Source organism: Homo sapiens, chromosome 7 (genome assembly GCF_000001405.40).
Source record: "Homo sapiens chromosome 7, GRCh38.p14 Primary Assembly".
In the NCBI taxonomy this organism is placed as follows: Eukaryota; Metazoa; Chordata; class Mammalia; order Primates; family Hominidae; genus Homo; species Homo sapiens.
Window position 1 is genome coordinate 102,167,788 of NC_000007.14, and position 23,802 is coordinate 102,191,589.

Sequence of the window (23,802 nt, forward strand, 5' to 3'; positions counted from 1 at the left end):
TAGTTGATTAGGTCGGATGCAGTGGCTCACACCTGTAATCCCAGCTCTTTGGGAGGCCAAGGCATGGATCACCTGAGGTCAGGAGTTCAAGACCAGCCTGGCCAGCGTGGCAAAACCCCGTCTCTACAAAAAATATAAAAATGAGTCGGTTGTGGCATTGTGTGTCTGTAATCCTAGCTACTCGGGAGGCTGAGGCAGGAGAATCGCTTGAACCCGGGAGGCGGAGGTTGCAGTTAACTGAGATTGCACCACTGCACTCCAGCCTGGGTGACAGAATGAGATTCCATCTCAGGAAATTAAAAAAAAAAAAAAAACCAGTTGATTAATTAGCATGAACCAGAAATCACCTCTACAGTCCTGGACATACAGGTCACCTTGCCACCTTCCTGATGGCTGGTTCTAGATTCAGTGTGGACGAGAGATAGTGACAGAGGTGACCTGCTTGGGCCTAGACACACCCACCCAGGCACCACATGAATTCAACTGAATGTAATTCCAAGAGCTCCTGGAGAGGCAAGGCAGGCGGCCACCAGCACCGCCCTGGGCGGACGGAACTGCCATTAGAAATATCCTAAATTGGCTGGGCGCGGTGGCTCATGCCTGTAATCCCAGCACTTTGGGAGGCCGAGGCAGGCAGATCATCTGAGGTCAGGAGTTCGATACCAGCCTGGCCAACATGTGAAACCCCATCTCTACTCAAAACACAAAAATTAGCCAGGCATGGTGGGCACCTGTAATTCCAGCTACTCAGGAGGCTGAGGCAGGAGAATCGCTTGAACCCAGGAGGTGGAGGCTGCAGTGAGCCAAGATCATGCCACTGCACTCCAGCCTAGGCGACAGAGCGAGGCTCTGTCTCAAAAAAAAAAAAAAAAAAAAAATCCTAATTTGTCTGTATGCAGGGCAAATAGATTCAATGCTGTTGCCACAGAATTGCTTAAAGCTGCCAAAGCCACTCCTCCTAGAACTAGATTAATCAGCCAGTTCCAGGACAGGCCAACTTCTTGTTTGTCTTTCTGAGTCCTTTCTCAGCCATTGTTAGCCACACGCTGCCATGCCACAAAATAAAACACACGATGGAGACGCTGCTTGGCCAGGCTTTTCTTTTCTTTTCTTTTCTTTTCTTTTATTTTCTTTTCTTTTCTTTTATTTTCTTTTTTTTTTTGAGATGTGGTTTTGCTCTTGTTGCCCAGGCTGGAGTGCAATGGCGTGATCTCTGCTCACCGCAAACCTCTACCTCCTGGGTTCAAGCGATTCTTCTGCCTCAGTCTCCCGAGTAGCTGGGATTACAGGCATGTGCCACCATGCCCAGCTCATTTTGTGTTTTTAGTAGAGACGAGGTTTCTCCACGTTGGTCAGGCTGGTCTCGAACTCCTGACCTCAGGTGATCTGCCCACTTCAGTCTCCCAAAGTGCTGGGATTATAGGCGTGAGCCACCGTACCCAGCCAATTTTTTGTATTTTTAGTAGAGATATGGTTTCACCATGTTGGCCAGGCTGGTCTCGAACCCCTGACCTCACATGATCCACCCGCCTCGGCTTCCCAAAGTGCCAGGATTACAGGTGTGAGCCACCATGCCCAGCCTTTGGCCAGGCTTTTCTGATTGAATGTTTCTAGCAGTGGAATGTAAGTCTGGGAGGAAGAAGCAGAACTTTCACCTCAGCCCACGTGTCCCATGTCATTCGCCACCATCTCCCACCTGTCTTAGAACTGTGCCTCAGTCCTAAGTATTAAGCCGGCACAAGGCCATTCACAAACGACCTCTGCCTGAGTTGTGTGTCCTGGGCACTTCCGTGGCTAGGGACCGTGTTCCCATTTTCCAGACGGGTAGGCAGCAGCTCAGTGAGTTTGGGTAACTTGCCATGGTATGTCTTTTCCCAGACACCCTGTCGGGTGGTGGGCACTGGGGTGACCTGTCCTCGTCATCCAGTGGGAAATCCCCATCTGCTCTCTGGGGGTGGTTGTTTCCTTGTTCAGGAATTGCAGGCAAATGATGGAAAAGTCCACTCATTTGTCCCGCAGCCCCCAGCACTGGTCTATGCTGTCCTGTCTACGTCCTCGGATTGGCCTGGTTGGCTGAAAATGCCAGGATCAGCATTCAAAACACTTTGTCCAGTGAAGGGTTAAATATGTTGAAATAAGCCCGGCCTTTACAAAAGCAGTGGCATTTACATCCTGTACGTTTATGGAAATCCTTGCTGAAGAAAAACAACCACAACATTGTTTGTGCGTGTTTTTAGGAAGAGAATGGCCAAAGTGTCTTTAATTCACTGTTTACCCGTGAGAATTACTCCCAGGAGTAATCCCGCAATAAAATCTTCTTGGTCTATGAGAATAGAAAGAAATTGAATCAAAAGACTCGATTTCCACTTGTATTTATTCAGTCTGGGAAATTCAGTGGGCCGGAGTATTAGTATCAGCAGGGGATTCCTTTGCTCCTAGCGTTAAATTACTGTCATAATCGCTCAATTATTTCTTCCTTGTACTGTTTAAAATAAAAATCCATCACATTCTGTGTTTTTTTTCCTAGCATTTATTAGGTTGAGTGTTTAGGAAAATCAATTATAGTCAGTCAGGCATGAATTGATGAATGTTCTTGTAATAATTGTCAGTTGTTAAACTGAATGTACTTTCTCTTTCACCCCTTTTCATTTCCTTCAGAGGGCAGAGGTGGCTCAGAGAGAGGCGGAGACCTTAAGGGAACAGCTCTCATCGGCCAATCACTCCCTCCAGCTGGCCTCACAGATCCAGAAGGCACCAGACGTGGTGGGTAGCCCCGGCCCCGTGGGGGACTGTCCCCGCCTGGCCTCCGCACCTTCGAGTTACAGCCGCTTGCTCCTTTTTGTTTTCAGCATCTCTTTTTGGGAATCACGTTTTAACTAGTACTGCTTTCTCGGTGGGGTTTGCTTTGACCAATTGGGGGCCGGAGCTTGTTAAAGTCGAAGGAAGAGCTTTGCTAACTGTGCGTGGGTGGGCTGAGGCTAGCGTGGCATCCACCCAGGGCCAAGGTGGAGGCTACGCAGGCACAGTCACAGACACAGTCACGATGCCCCAGCCAGGCCTGGGGGTGTGATCGCTGGCATGCGGGTGCAGACCCGAACCAGGAGCCTCTCCAGAATGACACGGAGAAATTGAGGGTTTCCGCTGTGCCTTTCCAAGATGAGGAACAGTTCAGGATGAGCTGGGAGGGTAGGGGTGGGCGGGCAGAGAGGTAATAAAATAACATTCTGCACCGAGTTTATAGAGCAGGAAGAGTGGGTATCACACCACTTTTTTGCAGCTTGCTTTTTCTGAAATTAGCGCAAATGGCTCTTAGCCCAAACATTCCCAGCTCGATCAAGGTGGCTTTGAACTATGGGTTTCCAGACTCTCTTTCAATGCTGTATAGGGACAAGGAACAGCGTAGGAGCTAAGACCTTGGGTGTTGGAGCCATAGCCCCCAGTGCAGACCCCAGCTCAGCAGTCTGGTGATGGGGACAAAGGAGCTTAACGTCCCTGAGTCTCCGTTTCCCCGCCTGTAAACTGGGGGGTTGGTGCGAAAGTTATTATGAGCAAATAACTTAGAGCAAAGCTGGACATGTAATAAGACTAAGTAAACCTTAGCAGTAATTCTAGTTGTAGTTGGCACCATTATCTCTGATCCCTCAGTTTTGGGTTTTTTTTTTTTTTCTTTTTTTTTCTAAGACAAGGTCTCTCTCTGTTGCCCAGGCTGGAGTGCAGTGGCGCAGTCTTGGCTCACTGCAGCCTCCACCTCCCAGGCTCAAGGGATCCTCCCAGCTCAACCTCCCGAGTAGCTGGGACTGCAGGCGCACACCACCACACCTGGCTGATTTTGGTATTTTTTATAGGGACTAGGTTTTGTCGCGTTGCCCAGGCTGGTCTCAAACTCCTGGACTTAAGTGATCCTCCTGCCTCAGCCTCCCAGAGTGCTGGGATTACAGGCATGAGCCACCACGCCTAGCCTGATCCCTCAATTTCTAGCACATAATTTCATCACTAGTTCACTTACAAACCTCAGTTTTCCCATGTGTAAAATAGGAATTAAGTGATCACAAGGCCGCTCTATGGAGCCCTCATCCTAAGGTTACAATGAGTACATATCAGTTGTAGGAGTCCTTTTATCCAACAGTGACTCCGTCAAGCCCTTGCCGTATGCTAGGGCTTGTAGTGGACACCCGAAGAACCATAAGGAGTAAGATGAGGCTGGTTGCAGAGAGTACAGTCTCATCAGAAGAACTTGCTCTTGTAATAAATTCAATCATTGACAATCATTATTTCCACCCAATCTGTGAAACAGAATACCGTTATTTCTTTTTTTTGAGAGAGAGTCTTCTTCTGTCGCCCAGGCTGGAGTGTAGTGGCGTGATCTCAGCTCACTGCAACCTCCACCTCCACCTCCCGGGTTCAAGCAATTCTCGTGCCTCAGCCTCCCAACTAGCTGGAGCTGCAGGCGCATACCACCATGCCCAGCTAATTTTTGTATTATTTGTAGAGATGGGGTTTTGCCACATTGCCCAGGCTGGTCTTGAACTCCTGTCCTCAGGTTATCCACCTCCCAAAGTGCTGGGGTTACAGGCATGAGCCACTGCGGGATCTCACTCGGTCACCCAGGCTGGAATGCAGTGGAGTGATCATGGCTCGCTGTAGCCTTGACCTGGGCTCAAGCGATCCTCCTGCCTCAGCCTCCCAGGTCTTGAACTCCTGTCCTCAGGTTATCCACCTCCCAAAGTGCTGAGATTACAAGCATGAGTCATCATTCCCGGCCCTATTTTTTTATATAGATGAAGAAACAAAACCTCCATGAATGTAAACACCTTTTCCCAAAGCACAGTCAATCTAATGGCTGAGCTAAGACCTGAATTGGGCGTTCTGGCACCCCAGACTGTGGCTTTTAAATTATTCCCCAGGAATGAATCTAGATCAAGGTATTAAGACTCCCTTCTAAGAAAAGATTTTAGCCTTCTTTTTAAAATTAACATTAATTAAAACATTTGTTGCTGGGCGCAGTGGCTCACACCTGTAATCCCAGCCCTTTGGGAAGCTGAAGCAGGAGGATCACTTGAGGCCAGGAGTTTGAGACCGGCCAGGGCAAAATATCGAAACCCCATCTCTACAAAAATTTTAAAATTAGCTGGGCATGGTGGTATGTGCCTGTAGTCCCAGCTACTCAGGAGGCCGAGGCAGGAGAATTGCTTGAACCCAAGAGGCAGAGGCTGCAGTGAGTTATGATTGTGCCACTGTGCTCCAACCTGGGCAACAGAGAGAAACCCTGTCTCCAAAAAAGTAAATATGAGACTGGGTGTGGTGGCACACACCTGTAATCCTAGCACTTTGGGGGGCCGAGGCGGGCAGATCACCTGAGATCAGGAGTTTGAGACCAGCCTGGCCAATATGGCGAGAACCTGTCTCTACTAAAAATAGAAGAATTAGCTGGGTGTGATGGTGGGCGCCTATAATCCCAGCTACTCAGGAGGCTGAGGTAGGAGAATCGCTTGAACCTGGGAGACAGAGGTTGTGCAGTGAGATCGTGCCATTGCATTCCAGCCTGGGCGACAGCAAGACTCCATCTCAAAACAAAACAAAACAAAAAAAGATATGATTGAAGTGTTCCTGGATGTAGAGAAAAGATTTGCATTGAGCAGGCCATCACGTCCTTCATACTTCATGGACTCTGGAACTTAATTTTAACTGAATGTCCCCTTGGCTCTGTTACAGTTCCTTCCTCTAAGTTTAGACAAACTGGATCCAGCACCATGGCTAGGGTGGGAGGCAGCCTTCAGGACAGGGTCAGCGGCTTCCCCTGGCCCCTGGGGTCCTGCTTCATTCTGCAAAGGAAGTCGTCCATTCTGATGTGTCTACACGGGGCCCCTGAGCTCAGTGTTTTGGTTGAAAAGAATTCTGGCACTATCCTGGACTGCAGCAACCAAAACATTTCAGAAGGAAATGAATGTTTTTGCAGGTAGAGTCCGTTGTGGATCCTAGGGGCGCTTAAACACTTCATCATCGGTTAAGTGCCGTGTTTACATGGCACCGGTTCAGTCTCCCCAGAGCAGCCCCGTGGGGCTCCCCGCGGGCGTGTATTCCCACATAGCCAGTGGGTTCCAGCTGCAGCCAGTTGGGGAGCAAACATAGGAAACTGGGCCAGCGGAAAAATGGTCTGTTGGGCTTGGCTGGCAGAATGCAGCAGAGAAACGGTGGAGTCTGTAGATCTAGCAAAGGCCAAAACCCATCCATTGGGTATCCCAGTGGAATCTCCGATTCTAGAAGGTGAGCGGTCACTGAGTGAGCTGCTGGCCCAAGTTTGCAGCCATGCTGGGCTTTGCATAGTTTTGTTTGTTTGTTTGTTTTTTAGTGAGATGTAGCCCCGCTCTGTCACCCAGGGTGGAGTGCAGTGGCGCAATCTGGGCTCACTGCAACCTCCACTCCTGGGTTTAACCAATTCTCCTGTCTCAGCCTTCTGAATAGCTGGGATTACAGGTGTGCGCCACCATACCTGGCTAGTTTTTGTATTTTTGCTAGAGATGGAGTTTCACCATGTTGGTCAGGCTGGTCTCAAACTCCTGACCTCAGGTGATCTGCCCACCTCAGCCTCCCAAAGTGCTGGGATTACAGGCGTGAGCCACCGCACCCAGCCTCCCTAAAGCTTTGAAGGCCACCTCTTCCTCTCTCTGATTTCCTCTCTAGCTTTTGCCCATGTCTCTCCCAGCCATCACCCTATGGACTGACAGGCCGCTGCTTCTCATCCAGGCCCCCTGGATCGCTCCCCAAGCCCCTCTCTGTTTCTTTCTTCATTCTCCCTTATGTCCTTGTGACAGCACAACTGGGAGTGCCCACTGTGTTGAGATGGAGTGAGCCACAGTTTCAGATAAAGGAAGGATGGGCCAGGCGCAGTGGCTCACACCCATAATCCCAGCACTTTGGGAGGCCAAGGCAGGCGGATCACAAGGTCAGGAGTTCGAGACCAGCCTGGCCAAAATGGCAAAATCCTATCTCTACTAAAACTATAAAAATTTGCCTTTGCCAGGCATGGTGGCATGTGCCTGTAATCCCAACTACTCAGGAGGCTGAGACAGGAGAATCGCTTGAACCTGGGAGGGGGAGGTTGCAGTGAGCTGACGTGACACCACTGCACTCCAGCCTGGGTGACAGAGCAAGACTCCATCTCAAAAAACAAAAACAAAAAAAACAGATAGAGGGAGGATGGTCATGTCTGTGTCATTTCCAAGGTCTTACTGCTTTGGGGTTCATTTTCACCTCATTTAGTTCGTGCGAGACAGCGATGATTTTTGCTGTTTTATGAAGGAGGAGTTTGTGGCTTGAGTTGCTGGGAGTTGGCCAGTGTGGCCGAGCTCTTGTGGCCATGCCCAGCCGGGCGCAGGAGTTGAGCCCTCGACCACCCGCTGCCCGGTCCCCACTCTGGGTCCAGGGACAGCACTGAAATCCACACCTTTGACCTGTGTCACTGGAAGCACCTGTCCCAGATACATTCACTTTGACTTGCGCCTTGTAAAACCCACATTCCCTTGGCTGGTTTTACTGACCCTTTTCGTAAAAGCCCTTTAATCAGTGTCTATGGCCAGCACCCCTCAGGGTGGAAGATTAAGATGAAGACGTGATATAGCATGATTCAACCTGTGCCCAGACTGACCTCCCTACATGTCACTTCTGCCATGTCCCCTCCTTGCTCCAGAGCTGGCAGGGACTCCCCAGGGCTGCCACCACATGTCCAGGCGCCTCTGGCTACCCCTGGCAGCTGTCACTCCTCCAGCCCTGCCCCACACTCCTGCCAGCCTCTGCACCTGCCTGCATGTCCTCCGCCCTTCCCCGGCACCCACCCTGAGATGGAGCCCCCTTTCCTTCCGACAAGGTCCCGCCAGCCCTCCCGAGGCCCACCCATTCCCCCCTCCTGTGGCTCAGCCCCACGTGCCACTGTCCTGGTCCTCCTACCCTGGAGGGCTCGTGACGTTGGCCCTGCCCGGCATTATTCAGAGCGGTGCTTTCCAGACTCCCTGTGATGGACAGTTTTGTTTTGTTTTTTAAATTTCCAGTCTGTGGCAGACTGATCGTTTTATATAAAAGACATTTAAAATGTCACCGAAATGCCGAATCGCTATAAAAGTTTCTAAACACTTATTCTCGATTTCTGTAATTGCCTCACTGTGCACCAGCAACAGTTTGCAAATTGGCAACGATCCCTGCAGCTCACGCTGCACAGAACGGGCCTGGACAGCCTGTGCCTGGTAAATAAGCCGACAGGAGATGCTCGCTCCAGCCCCCCAGGGCCACGCGCACAGCTGTCAGAGGTCAGGAGAACCGAAACACCTCTTTTACAACCTCATACAAATCAAAGAAGCAGGAAGGAGTACCCTCTTTGCACACAAAACTTTACAGACTTAAATGGTAAAGGCCTCATTTTCCCCGAGGGAGATATAAAACATTATTTCCCTGAGTGAATGCCTGCCTGTCCCCAAATTTGAAAATCCGTGGTGAGCACACGGTGCATGGGATGGCCCAGCTGTACCTGCCAGCTGGGGCCACGGTGCCACCCTTTCCCCACAATACAAGCAAGATCAGGACGTGAAACTGAGCACTTCAGAGGGGGGACAGCGGCAAGGACAGTGGCTTTCTGTGTTACAGCATGAGCTGCCCCCAGGATTCGGCTGTCATAGACACCATGCAGCTCTGCCCTCTCCACCCCTGTCCCCGTCTGTCATGCCCAGAATTGCATCTGCCCTGCAGAAAATATTTCAGAATCTTTCAGGAGCCAGGATTCCTTTTTTTTTTTTTTTTTTTTTTTTTTTGCTTTGACACAGAGTCGCTCTGTCACCCAGGCTGGAGGTCAGTGGTGCAATCATGGCCCACTGCAGCCTCAACCTCCTCAAGCTCAAGCAATCCTCCCGCCCCAGCCTCCTGAGTAGCTGGGACTATAGGCATGCACCACAATGCCTTGCTAATTTTTGTATTTTTTTGTAGAGATGGGTTTTCGCCATGTGGCCCAAGCTGGTCTCGAACTCTTGAGCTCGGGTGATCCACCCACCTCTGCCTCCCAAAGTGCTTGGATTACAGGTGTGAGCCACAGCACCTGGCCCCGTGATTACTTTTAAAGGTTGAAAAAAGTACTACTTGAGTCATTGAGAAGTAGAATTACAGATTTGACTTTTTCCTTTTTTTTTTTTTAATACCTTAGCTTTTTTCTATTTTGCGTATTTTCCACAATGAGCATTTAGTGAGGTTAAGGGGTGGGTAGCCAGGTTTTTTTCACATCAATTATCCTAAGAGTTCTTCAACAAAGGAACACCAAATATACATTTTCCACATCTTTTAATTCTTTTATTAAATAAAATACTGGCCGGGCACAGTGGCTCATGCCTATAATCCCAGCACTTTGGGAGGCCAAGGTGGGTGGATCACTTGAGGTCAGGAGTTCGAGACCAGCCTGGCCAACATAGTGAAACCCCATCTCTACTAAAAATACAAAAATGAGCCAAGTGTGGTGGTGCCCACCTGTAATCCCAGCTACTTAGGAGGCTGAGGCAGGAGAATTGCTTGAACGCAGGAGACGGAGGTTACAGTGAGCCGAGATCGCGCCACTGCACTCCAGCCTGGGCGACAGACCAAAACTCTATCTCAAAAAAAAAAAAAAAAGAAAAGAAAAAGAAAATGCTGATACAGAGTTTTCAATTTGTCAGACAATATCTCAGCTTCCGGGTAATTTAACAGTGAATCTCAAGGACCTTGAATCCCACCTTGTGGTGGAAAATCTCGGTGGTTTGGGAGCATTGGAGGGAGGCTTCCTCCTCTGAGCCACCCACTCTGCTGTTCCCCTGCCTGGAGCACTCTTCCCTCTTCCCCAACGCTCAGCAGCCCCTCCCCACCTCCTCCTCCTCCAGGTCTCTGCTCACACATCACCATCTCAGTGAGTCTTTTCCTGGCCATCTTACTAAACCCCCTGCCTCTCAGCTCTGACTCTGGCCTCTGTTTTAAGTCTCCTTTGACAGTGGTCACCCCGCACACTTTTCATTACTAATAAGTGTATTTTCTGCATCTCACTCATCCTGCCGCATCCCTGCTGGGCTGTAAGCCCTGGGAAGACAGGGACTTTTCTCCTGTTTTTTTTTGTTTTTTTGAGACAGAGTCTCATTCCTTTGCCCAGGCTGAAGTGCAGTGGTACAATCTCAGCTCAGCGCAACCTTCTTCTCCCGAGTTCAAGTGATTCTCCTCCTCAGCCTCCCGAGTAGCTGGGATTACAGGTCACCACCACGTGCCTATAATTAGCCCAGCTAATTTTTGTATTTTTAGTAGAGACGGGGTTTCACCATGTTGGCCAGGCTGGTCATGACCTCCTGACCTAAGGTCATCCACCCACCTTGGCCTCCCAAAGTGCTGGGATTACAGGCGTGAGCCATTGCACCCAGCCTGGACTTTCTTTGATTCACTGCTATATGGTTGGTACATGGTAGGCACTCAGTACATATTTGTCCAGTGAATGAATCGAGGTGGCAGCTAACCACAGGGGGAGGAAGGTTGCATAGGGGAAGTGCAAGCAAGGGCAAGAAGTGACATCCTGCCATCACCATCCACACACTGACATCTGTGCAGCTTCTGTCTCAGTTGCCAGCACAGGTAGCCTCGAGCACCCGCCTCAAGGCCAGCGCAGTTTTGTCATCTCTTTTCTCCTCCCCAGGAGCAGGCCATAGAGGTGCTGACCCGCTCCAGCCTAGAAGTTGAGTTGGCCGCCAAGGAGCGGGAGATCGCACAGCTGGTGGAGGACGTGCAGAGACTCCAGGCCAGCCTCACCAAGCTGCGGGAGAATTCGGCCAGCCAGATCTCACAGCTTGAGCAGCAGCTGAGCGCCAAAAACAGCACACTCAAAGTAAGGGGGCTGCGGGGCCCGGGGGTGGCCCGAGGAGGCAGGGCGGATGGCTGGACACACGCGCACACACACACCCTCTGCCTTTCTGGACTTGATAGCAAGTGTGGCAACCTTGAACCTCTGTAAAGTAGCACCAAGCAGAGTCCCGGAGTCCATGGCAGGGAGACTGGATGTTAAACCCTGGCATCAGCCCTTGTGTAAACAGCATTTCCCTCTTTTTTTTTGGAGTCGGAGTCTCGCTCTGTTGCCCAGGCTAGAGCACGGTGGTGCAATCTCGGCTCACTGCAGCCTCCGCCTCCCAGGTTCAAGTGATTCTCCTGCCTCAGCCTCCCATGTAGCTGGGATCACAGGCGTGCATCACCATGCCCGGCTTATTTGTTTATTTATTTATTCATTCATTTATTTTTGAGACAGAGTTTCATTCTTGTCACACAAGCTGGAGTGCAATGGCATGATCTGGGCTCACAGCAACCTCCACCTCCCAGGTTCAAGCGATTCTCCTGCCTCAGCCTCCTGAGTAGCTGGGACTACAGGCGCCTGCCACCACACCCAGCTAATTTTTGTATTTTTAGTAGAGATGGGGTTTCGCCACATTGGCCAGGCTGGTCTTGAGCTCCTGACCTCAGGTGATCTGTCCACCTCAGGTTGCCAAAGTGCTGAGATTACAGGTCTGAGCCTCTGCACCCGGCTCTTTAACTGAGTTTTGCAGGGCATCCTAGCTTTCTGAGGATACCCCTACAGGAGGAGCTGGTGTACTATAACTCCAGCACTTCCGGTGCATGAGCCAAATGAAACCCCAGAGGTCCATGGAAGTCACATCTGACCTTCTAAGGGACATTCTCTTGTCCAAGCACCTTTTCCCTCAGTGGCCCCTGTCCAGGTGCTGCTTCAGTCTAGGCTCCCTCCCACTAGGCACTCTTGGCTTTTCCATAAATTTCTATCCCAGACGCAGAACCCAGAGCTTTTTCCACATATTAAAAAGTAATGATTATACTTTAGGTATTTATGATCCGTTGAAGCAAGTGTAATTTGAAGAGGGTCCTGGGACCCTTGATTCACAGGCTTCAGAGCCAGGGGAGACTCTCGGAGTTGTCTGTCTTGACAGCGAAGAAGGCAGGACCTTCAGGGCAGGGCTTCAGCCCCAGGCCAGGGGTTCCCTGCTCTGCCCGGGGGCTGCCCGTTCAGGCCCATTCCTTCCCCAACCCGGTACCTCCATGTTGGGTGGGTGAGGGAATGAGTGGCTGTAAAGTATATTCATTGTATGAATAAAGTGGGTCAGGGTTCATTGTGAACATTTAAAGGAAACCTTTTCTGGTATGAAGTAGTCCTAGGATGTACTTAGGTCCATTGTGTTTTGTCGTTGTTGTTGTTGTTGTTGTTTTTGAGACGGATTTTCGCTTTTGTCGCCGAGACTGGAATGCAATGGCGCAGTCTTGGCTCACTGCAACCTCCGCCTCCTGGATTCAAGCAATTCTCCTGCCTCAGCCTCCTGAGTAACTGAACTACAGTCACGCGCCACCATGCCAGACTAACTTTTATATTTTTAGTAGAGGCGGGGTTTCACCATGTTGGCCAGTCTAGTCTCAAACTCCTGACCTCAGGTGATCACCAGCCTCGGCCTCCCAAAGTGCTGGGATTACAGGCGTGAGCCACTGCCTTTTTTTTTTTTTTTTTTTTGAAACGGAGTCTCACTCACTGGCCCAGACTGGAGTGCAGTGACAGGATCATAGTTCACGGCAACCTCGAAGTCTCGGGCTCAAGCGATTCTCCTTGCCTCAGCCTCCCAAGTAACTGGGACCCTGGGACCAAAGACATGCCCCACCACACCCAGCTAGTTTTTTAATTTTTTGTGGAGATGGGATTTCACTGTGTTCCCCAGGCTGGTCTGGGACGCCTGGGCTCAAGCAATTCTCCCACCTCGGCTCCCAAAACACTTTGGGATTATAGGCATGAGCCGCTGCACCTGGCCCAATGTCTTTTTTTTTTTTTTTAATTGAAATTTTCTTTTTGACACATGACCAAATTTATACCAAGACTAAGTTTCCAGCAATCTATTGCCTATGCTGATGGCTCCCACGACCCTCCCTCACTCCTTTCTTCTGCCTCTTTGGGGTGAATTTCACCCATTCACTGAGAACTGCCCAGCGCCGGGTCCCTTGGAGGAGACAGTCCTGCCGACTTTGGGGAAATGGTTGAAACCTGGTTCTGTCTGTCCTCAGCCAGGTCGTTTTTTTTAAATTTTTATTTTATTTTATTTTATTGTATTTTATTTTATTTTATTTTATTTTATTTTATTTTATTTGAGACGGAATTTCGTTCTGTTGCCCAGGCTAGGGTGCGATGGCGCCATCTCCACTCACTGCAACCTCTGCCTCCCATGTTCAAGTGATTCTCCTGCCTCTGCCTCCTGAGTAGCTGGGATTACAGGCATGAGCCACCACTTCCGGATAATTTTGTATTTTTAGTAGAGATGGGATTTCTCCGTGTTGGTCAGGCTGGTCTCAAATTCCCGATCTCAGGTGATCCACCCGCCTCCGCCTCCCAAATGCTGGAATTGCAGGTGTGAGCCACCGCGAACCAGGTCATTTATTTTGTCACCGCCGTTTCTTCCTCTCTCATCAGCTTACCCAATGAGTACCAGGATTCAGTTTTTATTTCTACATTTAATCTCATTTTCTCATGTTACAGCCATTTCTGACCCCAGCAACGGCATTATGATGAGATAATTTGCCTTTCTCTCCATTGTCAAGTTAAAGGGCGTGACTCAGATACACACCGGCTACAAGAGAGCAAAGCTGTAGACCTCACATTTTTTATTATAGAGCAATTTCTTCCAAATCAGTTAAGGTTTCAATGTTTGCCTTCACAAAAAAATGAAACGCGGTTTTGCAAATTAATGTTCGTTATCCGTATCTTGGGGGAATTGTTTAATACCGTGCAGTTAATGAAACAATTCAGCGATACTTCTTCCAAAATCATTGCTACCTTATCTTCATCTAATCTAATAATCAAAACATATCTTCTAGTAACAAGACTTCTGATTTTAATTATCTTAACTCCTTGTTGCCAGATTGTCCTGATACGAAACCCACATGCAGAAAGCATCTGACTTCACCAAACCAGGGTTTCCTCTCGCCCCAAAGGAATAAGGTTAATTGAATGAGATATGTTCTGAGGGCTTTTTGTTTTTCCTAATGTGTATAATGTATAGCCTCAAATATAACCTAAAGGAATACAATTATTAGGAAAATATTTTTATGAATAAGACTTGGCAAATTGGCAACCTGATGCTTTTGCCATGGGGAACCCTGCCCCCGCAGTCTTGGCTACTCAAAGAACTCACCTTTACTTACCACGGAGCTGCTTTCTTTCTTTCTTCTTCCTGTCCCCTTCCCCTCTTTCATGTCTTACGGGGGACCCTCGGACACACGATGGGGCCTTGAATCAGGTTGCTGTTTGGGAGAGGAGGCTCCAAGCTCCCAGCTCTGGGCTCAGCTGTTTGGAGTTGCAGGTGGTTTTCCCATGAACACTTGGCAGCAGGTCCTTGATCTTTGAGACATGTGCCAGGGTGTTTGGTGACAGTCACTTGGGGAGAGGGCATTTCCCATAAGCAGAAGGCTTATTGGGCAGAATCTTTTGTCCTGAGTTCACTGAGTTGTTTCCACCCATACTTTCCAATGATACTTTCTGTAGTTGGATATATCAGAGGACTGACTAATTGGTTTTCTTTCTCTAACCCATTGAAATTCTCCATCTTTCTGCCACTGAGATTTCTCCTCTTCCCTCAAATTTGATTTGTTATTTCACAAGGATACCAGACAGCTGCACATCTTCGAGTCTGTCCTGTCCAGGGCTCTACTTTTTCAAGCAAAGCTCCCCATAAATGCCCCGCTATCCACGTGTGTCATGGGACATCGCTAACCTTTAATTAGGCATGGAAACAGACGCAAAAGTGGAAGATGTTTCCTCCTGCCTAATCTGACAAGTGCTTAAGCATAGTGCCACTTGTAAAGAAGAACTGTTTTTGCAATTAATGAAATAGCCCGACCGCCGTGACAAGGCTGCTTTTTGATAACTCTCTATTCTGTGGTCTTCTGTTGGAATGCTTTAATATAGAAGCAGTATAATTAGCTAGTCAACTGCACTGTACTTGCTACAGCACAGAAGATAATGCTACCAATAGCTTCGATTTAAAATAGATATTTATAAGAAAGGCTAACTAAAAGAACACCAGTCTCCCAGAAGGAGAAATTATATTTTTCTAGAGATGCGTTAAAGATCAGTGCTTCCCACTGGGTGGATGGTCACATGCGTTAGAATCACCTAGGGGTCTTTTCCAAACTGCTTCTCTTTCCCCACTCCTGAGGTTCTGATGGGTCCCATGGAGACACTATGGGATGATGCTGTGTCCCTCGGGGCACTGAGGTGGTATAAAAGAGGTGGTATAAAACCGTCCCTCTGGCCTTGGGTGTCTCTCTTTTCATCTTGCATTCTCGGAGCCCAGGAGTTCAAGACCAGCTAATTTTTTGTATTTTTAGTAGAGACAGGGTTTCACCATGTTGGCCAGGCTGGTCACGAGCTCCTGACCTCAGGTCATCTGCCCGCCTCAGCCTCCCAGAGTGCTGGGATTACAGGCGTGAGCCATCGCGCCCGGCCCCATCTCTTAATTTTTTTTTTTTTAATGAGCCAGAGTGGTGGCACATGCCCGTTGTCCCAGCTACCTGGGAGGCTGGGGAGAGAGGATCATTGGAGCATACACAGCACCCACCCCATTGCTTTGGAGATTTGGACTCACCGTCCAGAGTCCACAGTATCCTTGGGCTCCTCCCCAACTCCCAGCATCAGCAGAACCTAAATCTCCATGCCTGCTGCCTCTGCCTGAGGAACCATGGAGACACATGTCCTTATCTATGGAGAGTCCTTGTCCAGTAGAAGAGGAGGTGCATGCTGCCCAGGCCTGGACCCCAGAGATGCAGTGTCAGCTAAGGGTCTGTGCCTCAGACCCCTGCCCTGGGCCAGGGGGTCCCCGTGAGACCGAAGACTCCCACACCAACTCTAACCTGAGCCAGTCAGACAGCACCATGTGGAGCCTGGCCCCATTTATCTGCACTGCAGATGCCACTCTGCCCCCACGGTCAGAATTTTATGGAAAAGAGATATTGTCACCTTGACCACTGGCTGTGCAACCTGGAAGACATGACCTTTCCCTGGGTCTCTGCCTTAGTCAGACCTGCCAGAGGCCCCTTTGCTGTTTTTTTGAGACAGGGTCTCACTCTGTTGCCCAGGCTGGAGTGCAGTGGCACCATCATAGCTCACTGTAGCCTCGACCTCCCTGGCTCAAGGAATCCTCCCACCTCAGCCTCCCAAGTAGTCGGGACTACAGGCACACGCCACCACACCCGGCGAATTTTTATATCTTTTGTAGAGATGGGGTCTTGCTATGTTGCCCAGGCTGGTGTCGAACTCCTGGGCTCAAGTGATCCTCCCACCTCAGTCTCCCCTAGTGCTGGGGTTACAGGCGTGAAACACCATGCCCTGCAGTAGATAGACATAGTTTATAGATTAAACACCTAATTTGCTAAAGCCAAAATAGTTGGCATTGTAAAGTTTATTATCATTTAAGTCTTAGCCAGGCTTTTAAGAGCTTCAAATAGACAATTCTTCTGGCATTTCAGGACCCAGCTGGGGAGCACCAGCTAGGTTTCTGGAGCCATGTGGGCTCCGTGTATCTTTTCCATCGTATTATTACAACAGGCGTGTTTGATTGGCACTTGATCATCCTACATCTCACCACTGTCCTTTGAAAACCCATATTCATTCTGAATCTCCCCATTCTTCAGATGAGAAATGTGAGGCCCAAACAGGCTAAGGTTATCCAAGGTCACAGTCAGCTAGGGTAGGACCAGGTTGGCAGCCAGGTCTCTGACACTTGGCCTTTTCTTACCTGTCTGTGTAAAGCCCACGTGTGTTCCTTAGATTCATGCATTTTATTTTATTTTATTTTTAAAGACAGGATCTTGCTCTTTTGCCCCAGGATGGAGTACAGTGGCGTGATCATAATTCACTGCAGCCTCAACCTCCAGGGCTCAAGTGATCCTCCCACTTTAGCCTCCCAAGTAGCTGGAACTACAGGTGTGCACCACCACACCCAGTTAATTTTTAAATTTTTGTAGAGACAGGGTCTCTCTATGTTGCCCCTGCTGGTCTTGAACTCCTAGGCTCAAGCAATCCTCCTGCCTCGGCCTCCCAAAGTGCTGGGATTCAAGGCATGACTCACTGCACCCAGCCAGACAAGTGCATTTTTCAGGAAGATGACCAGTTCCCAGATTCTCTTTCCACAGCCTTGGACATGAAGTTACCCTTGACAGCGGGAGCCACTCCAGGGCACATGTGCTCTTTCTCTGTGGCTCTGCTACAGAATAGCGGGGACCCTGGGAGGTGACAGGCTGAGATCCGCAGACCTTCACGAACAGAGCCCCTGGAGAAACAGAACCAGAGACTCTCTTCAGATCCAATGTAGCCAGATTCAACCCCACCTAGCAGGGATGTAGTAATTGTAGTAACAAGGACAGTAACAGTGCTAACCACCATTTACAGAGCACTTTGCCATGTGCCCACACTGTACTAAGCTCTAAGTACCCAATATTTTTTTAATCCTCATCAAAGCACTGTAACATATAAACATGATCCCCATTTTATAGATAAGGAAACTGAGGCTTGGAGAAGTCAAGTCTGGGTGGGTAGGTTGGTTGGTTGGTTGATTGGTTGATTTATTTATGTATTTAGAGACAGGGTCTCACTCTTTTGCCTGGGGTGGAGTGGCACCATCACAGCTCACTGGAGCCTCCACCTCCCAGACTCAAGTGATCCTCCTGCCCCAGCCTCCTGAGTAGCTGGGACTGCCGGCACATGCTAACACACCCAGCTAATGTTTTGGGGTTTTTTTTTTGTTTTTTTTTTTTGGTAGAGACGGGGTCTTGCTATGTTGTCGTGCTTATCTTGAACTCCTATGCTCAAGCGAGCTACCACACCTGACCCAAGATGTTGAGTCTTATCTAGGTTCACCCTGCAAGTACGTGGTGGAGCCAGGATCTGTCGGACTCTGGAGTCCAGGTTTGCAGAGAGCCCCCGGCTCATCCTGGCCTCTCCGGCATCTCACTTCCTCCCTGCAGGCACGTAGGACCGGCCTCAGCTCTGTCAAGATCTGCACTGTAGGACCCCAGAGATTTTTTTCTTTCTTTGGGTAGTCAGACCCATCTGCAAAAGTTTTGCAATCATGAAATCAGATAGCGTATGAAATGCTAGGAATAAGCGCAGGTCTAGCATACCACGCGGCCAGCGGTAGCGTGACCTGACAGGAGGAGTGCGTCTTCAGAGACATTGGGAAACTGGCGTGCCTGTCGCCCGTCCCAGGGTCAGAGTCTTCGAAACCAGGCTTTCTGGGAACCCAACAAGGAGTTTCTGATCGAAGAACCGCACTGAGGACAGTTAGTCTTTTTTCCACACTGGGCATTTTCAGCATTGGAAGTCAATGGGAGCCCTGCGTCTGCAGGTTTTGAGATGTGGCACTCACAGCAGGGTCACTAGAATGGAGACATCCATGGGACCAGGTTACAGGCGCTCCGGCAGTTGGGAGAAGCGTCGCCAAGCAGCCTCCCCTAGGCTCCATCCAGCTTGTCTGCCCAAGACAGAAAACGTCATAGAAGGTTTACAGAAGAGATCTTGGGGACTTCCTAGTTCAACTGCCCCTAGGTAGATGGCAGAACCCTCAATGGAAGCTGTTTAGCTCTCAGCAAAACTCACGGCCAACTAAAATACAGTCGTGTGTCACTTAACAATGAGGCTGTGTTCTGAGAAATGCGTCAATAGGTGAATGCGTTGTTGTGCAATCATAGTGTGTACTTGCACAAACCTAGATAGTATATATATATATATATATTTTTTTTTATTTATGCCTATTTTTCATACAGAAAACCAAATGTCCCAGCACCATTACTGAGCATTAGTCATTTCCCTTGCTTGATCTGCAGTGCCTTTATAAAGGGCCGTATGTCAACTTTCTCTGTATGTTCCATTAGAATCTTACGGGACTCAGGCCAGGCGTGGTGGCACACGCCTATAATCCCACACTTTGGGAGGCCGAGGCGAGTGGATCACTTAGTGTTAGGAGTTCGAGACCAGCCTGGCCAACATTGTGAAACTTCATCTCTACTAAAAATAGAAAAATTAGCCAGACATTTTGCAGGCACCTGTAATCCTAGCTACTTGGGAAGCTGAGGCAAGAGAATTGCTTGAACCTGGGAGGCAGAGGTTGCAGTGAGCCAAGATCGTGCCACTGCACTCCAGCCTGGGCAACAGAGCGAGACTCCATCTCAAAAAAAAAAGACTCTTATGGGACTTAGGCAGCCTTTGTTGACCAAAGCGTTATGCGGTGCATGATTATACATGGATTCCACTCCTAAAACCTTCCAATTAGGGCCAATCACAGGCCTTCAAAGAAGACCTGCAGCCGTGCCCCTAGACAGAAACTGTAATGGGACTTAGCAGTGCTAAGAGTCCCAATATCAAGCCAGGAACCTGGAATCTCGGCACTTTGAGAGGCCAAAGCAGGAGGATCACTTGAGCCCAGGAGTTCAAGACCAGCCTGGGCAACATAGTGTGACCTCGTCACTACAAAATAACTTTAAAAAAAAAAACAAAGAGTCCCACTGTTGAGGGCCCAGAGTTGCCAACATCTGAACTGGTTCTTTGCTTTGTGCAAACCCTTGAGTAATTGCTGTTATTCCCATTTTACAGATGAGAAGTTTATTAACTTGTCCATAGGCACCCAGGTCAGAAGTGACAGACTCGAGTTCCAGGCTCAGGCTGTCGGCCTTCTTGGTCTGTGCCATGCCAGGCTCTGAGACCCTCTGTGTGCTCCTCCCTCTGTCTGCCTTATTCCCAGCCGGCTCCTATTCTCTGGATATGACCACGTTTATGCACGCTAAATTTAGACCACACCTGGCTAATTTTTTGTATTTTTTTTTTTTTTTTAGTAGAGACGGGGTTTCACCATGTTAGCCAGGATGGTCTCAATCTCCTGACCTCATGATCCACCCACCTTGGCCTCCCAAAGTGCTGGGATTACAGGCGTCAGCCACCGCGCCCAGCCCTGAATTTTTAAAACATCGGGCAGGTTGGGATTTGGATGGTGCCATCTCCTCCCCAAAGTCTAGAATGTTCTCAGTTGGCTTTAAACTGTGGTCTTAGCCATGGCTAGTCAAGGGCACCTACAGGCATGGTGGCTCACGCCTGTAATTCCAACACTTTGGGAGGCTGAAGTGGGAGAATCACTTGAGCTCAGGAGTTTGAGACCAGCCTGGGCAACATAGCAAGACCCCCTCTCTTAAAAAATAACCGGGTGTGGTGATGTGCATCTGTAGTTCCAGCTACTCAGGAGGCTGAGGCAGGAGGATCACTTGAGCCCAGGAGTTGGAGGCTGTAGTGAGCTATGATCGCACCACTGCACTCCAGCCTGGGTGACAGAGCAAGATCCTGTCTCTTTTTTAAAAAAAAAAAGAAGAAGAAGAACAAGAAGCATAATACCTAGAAACCCTGTAGAGGGGAAGTTACCGGAAATGACAATTGTTCACCTCTAGCTTGGAAACATGCTGAATGGCCAGAACACCCTCCCGGCACCGCCCCTCCATATTCTTGTTTTATGTAGAGTTGCCTCATTTCCTCCAAGGAGCTCCCTTTAGAAAAGATCAAAAGCAAACTAGTCCAAAAACACCTTCAGAGAAGAAAGCACCCCCTACGACCACCCTACAGCAATGGCTCCTCTCACAAGAAAGCCCTGCAGAGCTGTGGGCAGAAACGGCCACATCAGGCTGGGTGGGGTGGCTCACACCTGTAATCCCAGCACTTTGGGAAGCTGAGGCGAGAGGGTCACCTGGGGTCGGGAGTTCGAGACCAGCCTGGCCAACATGACAAAACCCCGTCTCTACTAAAAACACAAAAAAAAGTAGCCAGGAGTGGTGATGCATGCCTGTAATCTCAGCTACTGGGGAGGCTAAGGCAGGAAAATTGCTTGAACTTGGGAGGCGGAGGTTGCAGTGAGCGAAGCCAAGATCACGCTACTGCACTCCAGCCTAGGCAACAGAGCGAGAGTCTGTCTCCACCAAAAAAAAAAAAAAAAAAGGATTAAAAAGGAAAAAAAGGAAACAGGCCACATCAATCCCCAGTGAGCTCACAGACCTTTCTGGAGCCCACTGGAGCGTCATCATACTTTGGAAATGTGCCATCCCTCCCCTAGGCCCCTGAGAGGGAGCAGCATCTCGGTCAGGGCCCTCCCCGCAGGACTCAGACCAGCTGGCTGTCAGGGAAGCCACCAAGCACTCGACTGAACAGGTCCCTGCTCCTAAAACCCCAGCATCCAGGGGTTCAGGAGTGGAAAGGCCTTTGCCCTGATGCCTATCTGATGCCTACTCTCAATACAAAAGGGCTGTGTCTCTCGTTAGTAGAGGTCCTCCCAAAGGTGTTGACAACCAGCTGTATGAGTCCCTCAGCCTAATATATTTTGTTTAAAACCACACGCTGCTTTTCAGACACCAGGAAAGCCTCTCCTCCTGTCCTCCTGTTTGCTGTTTCATGGCACTTCCTACAAAGTACACTTTTCCTCCTCTGCTTTTCACCTCTGCAAAGATTCTTCCTTCTTTTTTTTGGGTGCGGGGGGGGATGCTTTTTTTTTTTTTTTTTTAAAAAAAAAAGAGGTAGGGTCTCCACTCCTCACTCTGTCACCCAGGCTGGAGTGCAGCAGCACAATCATAGCTCACTGCACCCTCCAACTCCCGGGCTCAGGCAGTCCTCCCACCTCAGCCTCCCAAAGTGCTGGAATTACAGGCGTGAGCCACCACACCCTTCATTCTGCTTTTGCTAAGTTGTACGTTACAACCTTACAGCATCCCTACACACTTTGCCGTGCCTGGGCACGCACTCACACTGGGCAGGCCAGGAGCGTGAGGGACAAAAGATGGCCCCAGCACCGTTGACTCCATTCGCAAGGGCTGGCTTCCCCTCTCAGGCACAGCTGGCTGTTCCGCAGTGAATGCCGTCGGTGAAGTCCGTCGACCTGTTGTCAGGCATGGCCACTGATCAAATTCTTCTCTGTTTTCAGCAACTGGAAGAAAAACTCAAAGGCCAGGCTGACTATGAAGAGGTGAAGAAAGAGCTGAAGTAAGTACGGAGAGCCCTGTGGCCCCTCACACGCTGGGGCGCATTAGGGCCATCTGCTAACAATGCCAGGCTGGTGGCAGGAAGCCTTGGCCCCCTGCCCTCTGGCTCAGCAGATGCCCGTAAATGCAGCCAGAGTTCTACCACTGCATGGTGTCCTGGGCTACCCACCACTGTGGGCGTTTGCCCTTGGGCCTGTCCCTGAATTCTTTGGACTTTTGCTAAAAGCTGTGCATTGCAGGTATTCCAGAATGTATGGAATCAGGGGCATAGGGCTTTTACAGAAATGATCAAATATGACCTTGTTTTGCAACTATAAATTCCCCAAACAGAAACAAAGCACAGGAGGGAAATGTTTTCGGGTTGAAGGTGGGCATATGGCCTCACGCTGCCCCGGCCTCCTGGACTCAGGAACTCTGTCTTCCAAACTCTATTCTCCATCTGTGAGGCTGTAGCCGAAAGCTTATCATCTTTTCAGGGCTAATGATGGCATTCTCAGTTCTCAAGCTTCAAAGTTCCTTTCTCGGCCAGCAGCCCCCACCTCTGCCTCCTCACCCTGAGCCTGCTTTGGCACTCTGGAGCTCCCAGGTCCTGGTCTTTACCTGTCCCCCCACATCCATAATGCTCCAGGCTCACTGACCTCCCCTGCAAGCCTGGAGCCTGTGGTCAGACCCTCTACGTTCATACAGCTCCCCTGGATCGTCAGCCATTCCAAGCCTTCCCACTGGCATGCCCGCCTCACTCCTAGGTTATTAAGCACTGCAAACGAAGGTTGCCTAGGGCATGGTGACCAGCCCCACAGGTCCCCCGTGCTTCTCGCGGCTGGAGCTCTGCTGGTTCGAGGCTTCCTCAGGGGTTCCTCCCTGCCCTTGTCACTGTTACCCCAACCACTATCCACAGATGCCCTAGCCCTCTGCTAGGGACAGACTCCCGCCTCTGGTCTTGGGTGCCACCTCCCATCTCTGCAGGCTGCCCCCTCTGCCTAGACCTTGAGTCCCTTCCTTCCTGCCCCTCCTGCTGTCCCATCAGCCCCTTTCTCTCTTGCTGCTATTTTCCATTTCTCCTTTTAAGATGAGCCTACACCCACTCACCACGTTTTCTTTGTGTTGTTAATTCCATTCTGCTAAGAAAAGCTCCTCGGGCATCCTCTTGAACCATCTCACTTCCATGACCAGCTGCCTTCTCTCGCCTGGGACCCCCAGCCTCCCTGGCGTCTGCTGGCCCTGGTAGTCCCTGTCCCCACCATGCTCTCCCCCTGAGCGGTCTCATCCCCTCTCCAGCTGCAAAGCCTCTGCCGGCACCTCCTCGGACAGACCCCTACATCCCTCTAACAGTTCCAGCCTCTGTAACTTACTTACTTGCTTGCTTACTTATTTATTTATTTGACAGAGTTTAGCTCTTGTTGCCCAGGCTGGAGTGCAATGGTGCTATCTCGGCTCACCGCAACCTCCGCCTCCCGAGTTCAAGCGATTCTCCTGCCTCAGCCTCACAAGTAGCTGGGATTACGGGCATGAGCCACCACCCCGGGCTAATTTTGTATTTTTGGTAGAGATGGGGTTTCTCCATGTTGGTCAGGCTGGTCTCAATCTCCCGACCTCAGGTGATCCACCCACCTCAGCCTCCCAAAGTGCCGGGATTACATGTAACTTATTATTAAACATTACCTGGTTAACCTTCTCTACCTGCCTCTCCTATCCCATTCTTTCCTTCCTTTCCCTCTT

At 49.8% G+C, this 23,802-nt stretch overlaps 1 protein-coding gene across 25 annotated transcripts in view, besides 3 other annotated features; it reads left to right on the forward strand.

Annotated features, from left to right (window-relative positions):
- Positions 1-23,802, forward strand: part of CUX1 (cut like homeobox 1) — a 467,952-nt gene that overhangs the window by 351,781 nt on the left and 92,369 nt on the right. For 15 of the 25 annotated variants that reach the window (NM_001913.5, NM_001202545.3, NM_001202544.3 and 12 more), the window contains 3 exons: positions 2,659-2,763; positions 10,682-10,870; positions 22,026-22,084. In NM_001913.5, the coding sequence (NP_001904.2) occupies positions 2,659-2,763; positions 10,682-10,870; positions 22,026-22,084 (353 nt within the window). The remainder of the gene's footprint in view (positions 1-2,658; positions 2,764-10,681; positions 10,871-22,025; positions 22,085-23,802) is intronic. The other 10 variants (NM_181500.4, NM_001202546.3, XM_047419909.1 and 7 more) reach the window with 1 other exon arrangement.
- Positions 1,204-1,755: an enhancer, noted in NCBI's record as "H3K27ac-H3K4me1 hESC enhancer chr7:101812271-101812822 (GRCh37/hg19 assembly coordinates)". NCBI's record gives its function as "activates a minimal SCP1, AML or CMV promoter by ChIP-STARR-seq in naive H9 embryonic stem cells {active_cell/tissue: H9 hESC(naive)}" and the evidence as "EXISTENCE:reporter gene assay evidence [ECO:0000049][PMID:30033119]".
- Positions 1,756-2,306: an enhancer, noted in NCBI's record as "H3K27ac-H3K4me1 hESC enhancer chr7:101812823-101813373 (GRCh37/hg19 assembly coordinates)". NCBI's record gives its function as "activates a minimal SCP1, AML or CMV promoter by ChIP-STARR-seq in naive H9 embryonic stem cells {active_cell/tissue: H9 hESC(naive)}" and the evidence as "EXISTENCE:reporter gene assay evidence [ECO:0000049][PMID:30033119]".
- Positions 10,770-11,270: an enhancer, noted in NCBI's record as "H3K4me1 hESC enhancer chr7:101821837-101822337 (GRCh37/hg19 assembly coordinates)". NCBI's record gives its function as "activates a minimal SCP1, AML or CMV promoter by ChIP-STARR-seq in naive H9 embryonic stem cells {active_cell/tissue: H9 hESC(naive)}" and the evidence as "EXISTENCE:reporter gene assay evidence [ECO:0000049][PMID:30033119]".